The sequence below is a fragment of the Homo sapiens genome, chromosome 5, assembly GCF_000001405.40.
Source record: "Homo sapiens chromosome 5, GRCh38.p14 Primary Assembly".
Classification (NCBI taxonomy): Eukaryota; Metazoa; Chordata; class Mammalia; order Primates; family Hominidae; genus Homo; species Homo sapiens.
The window spans coordinates 112,691,672-112,704,145 of NC_000005.10; the positions used below are offsets into that span (position 1 = coordinate 112,691,672).

The 12,474-nt window shown below is 37.8% G+C and overlaps 1 annotated feature.

The window, feature by feature from the left end:
- Positions 1 to 295: a silencer, noted in NCBI's record as "tiled region #7502; K562 Repressive DNase unmatched - State 12:CtcfO". NCBI's record gives its function as "represses a minimal TATA promoter and a strong SV40 promoter by Sharpr-MPRA in K562 cells {active_cell/tissue: K562}" and the evidence as "EXISTENCE:reporter gene assay evidence [ECO:0000049][PMID:27701403]".

Sequence of the window (12,474 nt, forward strand, 5' to 3'; positions counted from 1 at the left end):
AAAGTCCCCATCTCCAGGCAGATTGACTTCAGATGAGAATGAGAAGGAAGCCTAAACATTTCAGGCATGAGATGCTGTGCCAATTATCAATTTATTACCTGTCCATTCTGAACTCACCCTTCACTGCCTGCTCTGCAATAATGGAGTTAGACTCAGTATTTCTCTTCTGCTAGTTAGCATGATGTTCGTCGGTAGAGGGTGCTAGAAGGTCACTGGAGGAAGAAGGGATTTCTTGTCCTTTTCTGGTGTGCACCTCTCAGCAAGCTCCTACAGTACCCACTGGCTTACACAGCATCAGCTCCTCCAGTGCACAGGGGATAGCAGTGTCCAGCAGCCAGCAGTAAGTGCTACCTCCCCAGGGGCATCGTTCCCTATCACCTTCTCAGGCTGCTTTGCAATGGAGTACCCTAAGCTCAGCACTTCCCCAGAAATGTCTCCCCAAAAATCCTCTCACAGAGCTTTGCAATGAGATCCAAGGCATGGCACCTCCCCATGGGGAGCTTCCCCTGGTAATCTAGAGGGTGGATTCCCAGGTAGTCCCACCAGCAGAGGACCTCAGCAAACCTCTTCTCCATCCAGTGAGCCATGGTTGCACCCTCTACCAATGAGGTCTGGATCTGGATCTCAGCCCAGGATGGAGGAGTCTCTTCCTTGGATGCTCTAGCTCAGCCCTGAGTTGTAGCTGCTCTCCATTAGGTTGCTTTCGGCCTTAAAGTTATTTTTACCTTTGACTAGCTAATCTCCTCTTACTCTAATCTTTTGTTAAAGTTAATAGTTCTCTATTTCAATTTCTGATGTTCAAATTACTATGTGGTGTCTGTCTTCTGATTGAACTCCGAACTAACACCAATGCCAAAATGCAAACATACACAGCTACACCTGCTCCTAAGCCCCCTGAAGATAAACACACACACACACACACACTTTGAAATAGGGCAGAAGAGACTTAGGAGACTCATGTGAGCTCAGCTTTACTAACAAAAGATATTTTCCAAAAGGAAGTGAAAAGCACCTAAGAAGGCAGAGTGAAACTTAGACCACACACACACACACACACACACACAAAAAAAAAAAGAAACTGCCCAGCCCTCTTCAGGAACATAGAGATAGGCACTAAGTTGCCATCCATGGAGACATAAATGAAGAGCTACTCACTCACTGCTTTGCACTTTATAAGGATGTTGGAAGGTCTTCAAGTCAGAGGGCAGAAATAAAGCCCAGGACTCACCAGTGAGCCCTCAAAATATGAGTTCTATTCTACTGATGGGGAATATTGGTTAGCCCCTTAATCCTGAATCCAGTTCTGCCTCATTAGACAAGGAGGAAACCCCGGGTCCCTGGTGTCTAGGACCCCAGACTACCATCACCCTGCTGCCAATAGTGCTTCACCCAACTCCCACTGCCCACTCTCTTGACCCACAAGGCATACCTGGGAGTTGACCCAACCCTTTTATCAATCCGGCCTTCCCATTTTTCTTTGGCACCATCCCTGTGCTTTGGGTTTTAGGGGTTTTAGTGCCTTCCTTTCCTCTTTTCTCTTATCTCATCCTCCTTGATGGGGGGACTGGAAGAGGCACAATACAATTTCTAAATATATTTGTTTTAAAAAAACACTATAAATAATTATGAGGTAGAAATCATAAAAGCATGGGTTCAAAATGAATAAAAATGCCAACTCCCATAATGTTATGTAAATAGGTACTTGTAGCTTATGATAAAATTGCTGAAGACAGCTTCTTGCTGGGATTCAAAAAGTGCTGTATTTCAAATAACAGATCGAATGAAACAAAGCTGATGTGCTTGGAAAAAACCGGGGTAAGATGACACCAGCGTGGTTCTAGTGTTGGCAAAGATTATAATGCTGAAGATACATGCAAGGAACTTAAGTAAAACTAGGTCATAATATGTGAGACAGAAAAACTCTAGAACATTCTTAAATGCACATGTCATTTTATATGATATGGGATTTTAATAAATAATAGTTAATTATAACAAAGTTTTTAGAAACAGACATTTGACTGTTTTGACTATATCCTTAGAAGTGTGTATTGTTTCCAAGTTGGCCTATCATTTTTTAGTCGCTTTTTTGGAAAAAAAAAAAAAAGGAAGGTCTCCTCATATTCAGGATTGCCTAGTGTTCAGGCACATGAGGACTACCATGAGCCTGGTAGCTAGTAGTCAGACAATAACCTGTCTCTTTCAGTTCAAGGTAAAGCAAGCCTATGCTTGAGCCTCCCTCAAAGCTTCCTGCTTTAGGAATTTACTCATCTCTCAGAACTGGTGAGAACAGTGTCTGGCTCTCTGAGATACTAGCTTTCCTCCCTAGAAAAGTAGTTGGTAGCCCCTAGCATTGAAGTCTCTTTTAAAAATTCGAACACAACCCATATACATACATACGGTTAATTGGCTTTCAACAAAGGTGCAAAATCAACTCAATGGAGAAAGAAGATTCTTAAATGATAATCACAAATGATTATGGAACAATTGGACATCTATATACTAAAAAAGAGAGAACCTTAGCCCTTATCTTGTACCACACACAAAAATTAAGGTAAAAATAGATCATTAACCTAAATGTACAACATGTAACATGTCTAGAAAAAGTCACAGGAGAAAAATTTTGTGACCTTGGGTTAGGCAAAGATTCATTAGATACAACACCTATAACATGATCCACAAAAGAAATAAAAGCTGATAACCTGGACTTCATTAAAACTTAAAACTTCTACTCTTGAAAAGACACTGTTAAAAATATAAGCTACAGACTGTGAGAAAATATTTATAAAATACATATTCATTAAAAGACATATTTCCAAAATACATAAAGAGCTCTCTCAACTCAGTAGGTTTTTAAAATCCCATTTAGAAATAGGCAAAAATTTGAACAGACACTTCAACAAATTAAATACATAGATGGCAAATAAGTACATGAAAAGATGCTCATCATTTAAGATATGTGATTGGCAGTTTCTTATAAAGTTAAATATACACTTACCGTATGACCCAAAAATCCCATTCCAAGGTATTTACTCAAGAGAAATGAAGACATATACCCACTCAAAAAACTGTACACAAATATTTATAATGGATTTATTAATAATCACCCCAAACTGAAAACACCCAAATATTTTTCAACCAGTGAATGGGTAACAAACAATCGTACATCCGTATAATGCAGTAAATAGACAGGAAATACTAAACATGCAACAACACGGGGGAATCTCCAATACATTATGCTAAGTGAAAGAAGCTGGACTCATAAGGTATAGGACAGTCTGCAAAAAAACAAAATAAGAGGGATAGAGAAGTAATCAGTGGTTGCCAGCAGCTGGAAATGGGGAGGGGTTGACCACGAATAGGCTCAAGTGAACATTTGGGTATGACAAAAAAGTTCTATATCTTGATTGTGGTGGTGGTTACATGACTGTCTGCATTTGTCAAAGCTTATTAAACTATACTTTTAAATGGTGAATTTTGCTGTGTATAAATTACAGCTCAATTTAAAAAAACAAAAACAAAAACAAAAAACTCTGACCCAGATCACTGTGGTCATTGTTGGTGGAGACTGCTGGCCTCTTAGCTCTCTTATGAGTGGGGTTACCAGCTAATCCCTGACATATTTGTGGTTCCAGGACTCCTAAAGGGTTGTGCAATGGTTTGTCTCCTTTCTCAAAGACAGCTGCTGGCTGATGGTAAAAGATAAAGAGAAAGAAAGATGTACACAGGCAAGTCAGGGAGAAATTTATCTTTCTTTTCCTTCCTGTCTTTCTTTTATATTCTTCCTCCCTCTTCTATTTCCTGCAGCCCTTATTTTTCTTTCACTTACTTTTCCTATTTATTCATCAGCTGAAACCTTGCTGAAAGGGATTAGCTGGGGGCTAAGTCGAGTAGGGCAAAAGGAAGCATTTGCTTCTAATCAGTAGTACACTGGTAAATGATTAGTAACCAGCTCTCTGAAACACCCACACACACACACAAACACACACACACACAAACACACACACACACAAACTAAAGTTTCTTTTAAATTTTACTGATATGAAGAGTATATAGCACAGGCTGGGTGCAGTGGCTCACGCCTATAATTCCCAGCAATTTGAGAGGCTGAGGCAGGTAGATCACTTGAAGTCAGGAGTTCAAGACCAGCCAAGGCAACATGGCAAAACCCCATCTCTAATAAAAAAAAAAAAATACAAAAATTAACTGGGCATGGTGGCACACGCCTGTAATCCCAGCTACTCAGGAGGCTGAGACAGGAGAATTGCTTGCACCCGCAGGCAGAGGTTGCAATGACCCGAGATCATGCCATTGCACTCCAGCCTGGGCAACAGAGCAAGATTCCATCTCAAAAAAAAAAAAACAAACAAAAAGAAAAAATAGAGAAAAAAGAGTATATAGCACATAGTGTATAAATATTAGCAAAACAGAAAATGTTCTTTAATGTGACTTTCATATAGCCAATAATTCTCCTGATTTTTGCCCATGATTGTTTCATTGATTTTTGCTGAACTTTTGTATCTGTAGCCAACCTATCATTATAAATAACAAACAAGTGTAGTTTTGACAAGAATCCTGGCTGATATTTTCTTAGTCATTAATGAGTAAGATGAAAATGAAACAACAAAGATATATGTTAGAACTTTATTTATTTGTCTATAATGTGAGCGACTTGGAAGAATTTGATAATGGTTTTTAAATACCGGAATAATATTTCCTCAATCTGTGTGCTATTCGCAAAGTAAGAGCAATAGACGTGACACGCTTTTAACTTTAATGTACAGCATTAACATTTTCTCCATCACTAGACTATCAACAAAACAATAAGTCAAGCCCAGATTTTGAGCATTTCTTGAGTTCCCTGGTGTAAATGCTCTCGCTCTGGCCAATTTCAAACTACCAATGTGACATCATTGAACTTAGTGTTTTGAGTAGATGTGCCCTAGAACATTATACAGTTTTTCCACCATTTAGATACAAGAGATGGAATGGCATCAGGAGCATAGGAAATGGTTAAATGTGAGAAAATGATTTGAAAGTGATGAGTTTTGAGTGCTTATTACCTTTGTTTTCAATATAATTTATTGAATTGCAATTTTATATTATTTAATTTTTAATAATAGCTGTGTGTAATTGCCAACTCATAAAATCTCTAAACTGACTTTCTCTCAGTTCTTTAAGCTGGTTCCAGTCTACTAAAGATCTTGGTGCAAGTCTCTGGATCCCTCCCCAACCCCAAATGACGGGGGAGCTGTAGCAGCATGAAGGGAGAGCGGATGCAAACATATGTTGTTTCTCTTGAGCCCCACCGCTCTCAACGTGCTGCTGGGGCTGCTTTGGTCTTGTGGGATGTTCCCCTGAGCTACTCAGACTGGTTGTTAGGGCGGATTATCAATGTCATCAGCCAAACCATAAACTGTGTCAAGATATTGATGTGAATTTCAGTGAAATAAATGATTTGGTTTTCTTTGTTAAATTTTATTCATTAAAATATGCTTTTATAAAATGAGGATTTATTGTAGAGGGCAATATTGTTATTCTGAAATGCCTTTCATTTTAAAGTAAACCTGGAAAGAGCACCACCAAAATGGTGACAATTCTTATCTTGAATGGTGAGATTTTTTTCTTTCTTCTTGAGATTTTCTGGAGTTTCCAAATTTTCTATGATAAACAGCTAAGATTTTGGTAGTATGAAAAACAATTGAGACAAATCTTTAGTAACTTGATATTCAAGTTACATTGGTGCTGTCCCTTTAAGTACTAGAAGAATACGTAGCACTTTCAGTAAAATAATGCCGAGGGAGGAGACATTGCTATGCTCAGTTTCATTTAAAAGCCAGATGTCCAGGAATTGGATATGGCTAATTATCAATTTCTACCCAGATGGAGAGTTTTCCTTTTTTTTTTTTTTTTGTCATTAGACAGAAAAGCACAGAGTCTCTGGCTGATTATTGCATTCAGCCACTTTAATTGGAAAGTTTTAAGAAATAGGTGGAGCTTAAAAGAAGGGAAGCTTAGTGTATCATGAGTGAAATGTTGATACAGGCACAAGAGAAACAAAAAAAGAAGAAACATGTATAATTGGTGTCATAAAGATTTTCAAACTTGCTCTATGACCAATTCAATTACTGCTGGAAATGGAATTCATACCTTCTCATGTCTGCCTTCCAAATTATACCAAGATTTAGCAGCTTATAACAAGAAGTATTTTTTTTTCACAGTTTCTATTGGTCAGGAATTTGAGCATGGTTTACCTAGGTACCCGTGCTTCAAGGTCTCTCATAAAGCTTTCAGCCAAGTCTGTGCTATCATCTGCAGCCTTGACTGGGAGAGTCACTTCCAAGCTCTCTCACATGATTGATGGCAGGGAGTTCCTCATGAACTGTTGGACTAAGAACCTCAGTTCTTCACTAGCTTTTGGGCAGAGGCCTCCCTCAATTCCACGTCAGGTGGGCCTCTCCATAAGGCAGTTTATGTTCTGGATTGGAGCATGTCTTCCACCTTGGTTCATCCATCATTTCTTGTCTTCTAGACACTTGCCAAATCTCTCATCAGCTGATGGAACATTCTTCATTCTCAATAGTCACAAATTTATTCCCTTTTATGCAGTTATTGGGCAGGGAACAGACCCAGGTTTTATCATGAAAGGGTGTTGCATTTTGTCAAATGCTTTTTCTGTATCAAATGATGTGATTACACATGAATTTTCTTCTGTAGCCTGTTGTATGTAGATAATGTAGATCACATTGATTTTCGAATATTGAACTAGCCATGCATACCTGGGAGAAATCCTACTTGCCATGTCATATTTTTTTTAAATATATTATTGGGTTTGATTTTCTAGTACACTCAAAATCCTCCATATCTGTGGGTTCTGCATCCATAAATTCAACCAACTGCAGATCACAAATATTTAGAAAAAGAACAATAAAAATAACAATATAACAATGAAAATAATAAAAATAAAAACCAATATAGTATAACAACAAGTTACATAGCATCTATCCTGTATTAGGTATTACAATCATGAAGTGCATAACAATATTTTAGTCAATAACAGACCACATATACAACGATGATTTCCTAAAATTATCATTCTATATTTTTGCTGTAACTTTTCTATGTTTAAATATACACACACCTACCATTGTGTTACCATTACCTACGGTATTCAGTGCAGTAACCTGTTGTATAAGTATGTAGCCTAGGAGCAATAAGCTAGATCATATATCCTATGTGTGTCCTAGGCTATACCATCTAGGCTTGTGTAAGTACATGCTATGATGTTTGCACAATAACAAAATCACCAAACGCATTTCTCAGAATGTATTCCTGTCGTTAAGCAGAGCATGTCTATAAAGTCATCTAGAGGTGATTTAACATATACAGAGGATATGCCTGGATTATATGCAAATACTGTGCCATTTTATATAAGAAACAAGTATCTGTGGAATTTGGTATTCTCAGGAGCTTGAAACCAATTCCCCATGGATTCCAAGAAAAAACAATGTTTCGTTGAGGATTTCTGTGTCTAAGTTTATGAGAAATATTGGTCTGTAATTTCCTTTTATTCTACTGTTTTTGTCTAGTTTGGGTATCAAAGTAATACTGGCCTCATAAAGTGAATAGAGAAGTAGTCCTTCTTCTTCTATTCTCTAGGATAGAATGTTTAAAATCAGAGCTTATTCTTCTCAGAATGTTTGGTAGAGTTCTCCAGTGAAACCATCTGGGTTTGGAGATTTCTTTTTCCAGAGCGTTTTAGTGGCAGTTCAATTTATTTCATGGTTATAGGACTATTCTGTTTCATCTTGTTTGAGCTTTGGTCATTTACGGTTTTCAAAAATTGGTCCATTTCTTCTAAAGTTGTTTAATTTATAAGTGTACATGTGTCCATGGTATTCCCTTTTATTCTTTTAATAGCTGCAAGAATTATAATTATATCCTGTTTCATGACTGATATTGGTAATTTGTGCCCCCTCTCTTTTTATTTTGTCAGGCTTGCTAGAGGTTTATCAACCAGCTTCATGTTCTATTGATTTCCCTATTGTTATTCTTTTCAATTTCATTGATTTCTGCTTTTATCTTTATTATTTCCTTCCTTTTGCTTTTTTTGAGTTTATTTTGCTCTTCATTTTTCTTGAGGTAGAAACTTAGGTGATTAATTTGGGATCTTTTCTAAGGTAATCATTTTATTTTTTTGAATGTAGTCATTTAGTGCTATGAATTTCCCTCTCAGCACCACCTTAGCTTCATTCCACCAATTTTGATATGTTGTATTTACATTTCCATTCAGTTCTGTATATTTTCTAAAACTTTCCTTTGAGACTTCCTCTTTGCTGAGGTATTATTTAGAATTGTGTCATTTAGCCCAGGCACAGTGGCTTACGCCTGTAATCCCAGCACTTTGGGAGGCCAAGGTGGGCAGATCACTTGAGGTCAGGAGTTCGAGACAAGCCTGGCCAACATGGTGAAACCTTGTCACTACTGAAAATACAAAAATCAGCCGGGTGTGGTGGTGGGCGCTTGTAATCCCAGCTACTCGAGAGGCTGAGGCAGGAGAATCGCTTGAACCCGAGAGGCGGAGGTTGCAGTGAGCCAAGATCGTGCCACTGCACTCCAGCCTGGGCGACAAGAGCAAAACTCCGTCTCAAAAAAAAAAAAAAAGAAGTGTGTCATTTAATTTTCAAGTGTATCGAGATTCTCCCATTGCCTTTCTCTCATTGATTACTAATTAAATTTCATTATGCTCAGAGGACATATTCTGCATAGTTTTGTTTTCTGGCCAAAGATGTGGTGTGTCATGGATGCTTTAAAAAAAAAAAGTGTATTCTACTGAGTGTTGTATTAATGTCAGTTAGATCCTATTGATTAATTCTGTTGTTCAAGTCTTCTATGTATTTGCTGATTTTCTGCCTAGTAGTTCTATCAATTACTGAGAGAGGGATGTTGATGTCTCTAACTGTAATTGCAGAGGCCCATGATAAGGCATTGAATTTGAAAAAAAAAATACAACGTTTGAATATAAATTTAGGTGAAAAAGTAAATATTTCTTTAGAATGAAAAAATAAATCTAGAATGCTGACACAAAATCCACAAGCATCACAAAACCTGGAAAAATAACACAAGTGCATTATTTTACTGCCTGACATACCTCTGTAGTTTTGTCCTAAATTTTTTTCTAGATGCTCTTTAAGTGGTGATTTTGTTTTATTATAATTTAATAGATTGAATAGAAATATAATTGTCTTTCTTCTAACATGGTTAATCACAAAATTTTTATTATTGATAGTTTAGATTTTTTTCAGCTTGACAACTTGTTATTAGTAATGGCTTGTGATTTCTTAAGATTGTTATCTCATTTGGGAAAATTTCCATCATGTCTTTTCTTTTTCCGTGTTACCTACACGTTCATTTTCCATATGTGCTATAAAGTTTGGAAGAATTTTCTATAGACTAACTTCTGGCTGTATACATACTTCGGGTTCAGGTGCCACAGAACATGTTCATGTTACAACACAAACTCTGGTCCTGCCCCATTGTGTTAGAATGCAGACAGAGTCAGGCACTGGACTGTAGAAGTACTCCTGGAAGTTATTACTCCACTAAGATAGTTATCAATAAGATACTAGACACAGACATAACTATGAATCACATAAATATCCTCTGACCAAATTTTTAAAAATGTCTCTTAAACTCAACTTCCCCTTAGCTGGAACCCAAAGTTATTACAGCTACTCTAATACCACCTGACAAAACAGACCTGTGACAGACAGTAAGTCAAAGTGGAAAGAGAAATGCCCTTAACCAATTGTGATTAAGAGATACTACTTTTGCAGATTTTACAAAAACTTATGAACATATTGCTAAGGCATTTTCCAGGACCTTGAAAAGGGCCCACGCAAGTGAAGAGCCTTGAAGCTTAACATTCATTAGTTTCATCAAAAATTAAGTCCTGCTACTGATATTTTAGTGGAATATACAGAGGAGAAGGAAGTAAACACTGGTACTTAGCCCCCCATCTAGCAGCAGAAGTTTCTTGGATGTCTTTTTAAAAGTACTTTTTATTATGAAAAATTCCAAGCATACACAAAAGTAGTAAGAATAATATAATGAATACTCATGGTACTCATCATCCAGCTTCTGTTTGTTTGGACACTTTCAATTCAAGAAATTGTAGGAGATAAATACAAATATGAATAAGATATGGCCTATGCCCTCATGTATGTATCTATTATAGTAAAGAAGACAAGACATGAGGCCAACACATGGCAATGTAATACTACCTAAAGGAGAACAATAAGCCATGGAAGCAGAGATGACCTCTGGCCAGGGATGACCAGTAAGGGCTTCAAGGAAGACATGGTCTAGGCAAAAAACAAGTACACATTTTAACTTGTCGACGCTGAGACAGAATTGAGATATCTAAAATACATATTTTCTGGGTTTTTACCCTGGAGCTCCTCTTGACATTTAGGAAATAATCCAACCTCCTTACTATCTATCTAGACCTCTAACTGGATACTCAGATTCATTCAGATTTAAGTATCATGTATTGAGTGCTTGCCAAGTGTGACGGCTAATTTTATGTGTCAACTTGACTGGGCTAAGGGACGCCCAAATAAGTGATAAAATATTATGTCTGGGTGTGTCTGTGAGGGTGTCTCAGAAAGAGAGTAGCATTTGAATTCATAGACTGAATAAAGAAGATCTCCCTCACCAATGTGGGTGAGCATCTTCTCCTGCCTTGGACGTTAACTCTCCTGTTTTTTCGAGCTTTCAGACTCAAACCGGCATTCATACTGTCAGCACCCTGATTATCAGGCCTTCAGACTCAGACTGAATTACACCACTAGCTTTTCTGGTTCTCCAGCTTATGGATGGCAGATTGTGGGATTTCTTGGCTTCTATAACCACATGAGCCAATTTTTATAATAAATCTCATATATATTCTAGTGGTTCTGTTTCTTTGGAGAACCCTAAATAATGCACCAGGTGCTGGTCATTTTCATATGTACCATTTCATTTAATCCTCACAACACAACAAGCCTGAGATAGATATTATAAGCACCATGTCTGAAGATGAGAAGAAAAATCCAGAGAGACAACTTGTATAAAGCTGCACAGATTAAAAAAAAAAAACATAACTAAGCCCAGAAATTCTAACTTCAAGTGTTTTTTATCACCTACCCCTTCATGGTACTTTTATTAAATTTTCAAAATACTTCCCCATTTCACAAACCTTCAGTGGCTCTCAGTCACTACATGATGAAATTAAATGTCCTTAGTTTACCATTTTCCATTCTCTACAATCCAGTTTGGTTTTCCTTCAACTTTATTTTCCATTTGTAAGACTATGTCTTAATTCTCTTACTGTGTTTAGGAGATTGCCCTCCTCATGAAGCAGAAATTCCCTCTCACTATCGAAATTAGAAGTTCATATGCTCATTTTCCTGGCCTTCCTATCAATTACCGCTGTGCTGTCAAACATGGTAGCCACTGGCCACACGTGGCTACTGAGCACTTGACGTATGTCTAGTGGCACATGTTGAAATATTTTGGATATATTGGGTTAAATAAAATATATTATTAAAATTGGTTTCACCTGGTTTTTGTTTTGCTTTAGAGTCAGGGTCTCCCCCCCGTCACCCAGGCTGGAGTGCAGTGTCACAATCATAGCTCACCGCAGCCTGGAACTCCTGGGCTCAAGTGATCCTCCGGCTTCAGGTTCCTGAGTAACTAGGACTACAGGCATGCACCACCATGCCCAGCTAATATTTTTTTGTAGAGACAATGTCTTACTATATTACCCAGGCTGGTCTCAAATTCCTGGTCTAAAGCAATCTTCCCATCTCAGCCTCCCAAACTGCTTGGATTAGAGGCTGGTTTTTTGTTTTTGTTTTTGTTTTTAAACTGTCTTATGTGGCTACTAGAAAATTTAAAATTATGTATGTGGCTTGCATTATATTTCTATCAGACAGCATGTAGGTAGAGTGTTAATGTGTTACTAGGTTATATCCATGATTTGCCCCCATTCTAGGCTTGAGGTTGAAAGCTAATGTTGTGAATATGAAGTGACCCTCCATTCTGTTGAGAGTAGTGGCAGTGATAGTAACTGCATCTATCTTCCAGAAGCAGCAGAGGCATCATCCACTCTGGGTCAAGTGGTACTGGCAGTCTCAGTTTTGGTATTTGCATCCAGCAGTGGCTACAGTGATGGCTTCTTGGGACCAGTTCCGGGCATAATGTTGCGTGTTGTTCCTGAAGATCCTGTAGATGTCAAATATCCTTCTAATAAATTCCTTTTCTGCTAAGGCCCTTCATGAAGTCTCCCTCTCCACCCCAGTCCACAGGATCCTTCCCTTTTTCAGCATCAATAGTGAATAAGATCCAAACCACGCACTTGGCACTTTGCCCATACTATTTATCTTATCATAGGAAAGTGTCTAGTTTTCTCAGCCAGACTGTAAAATTCCCTGT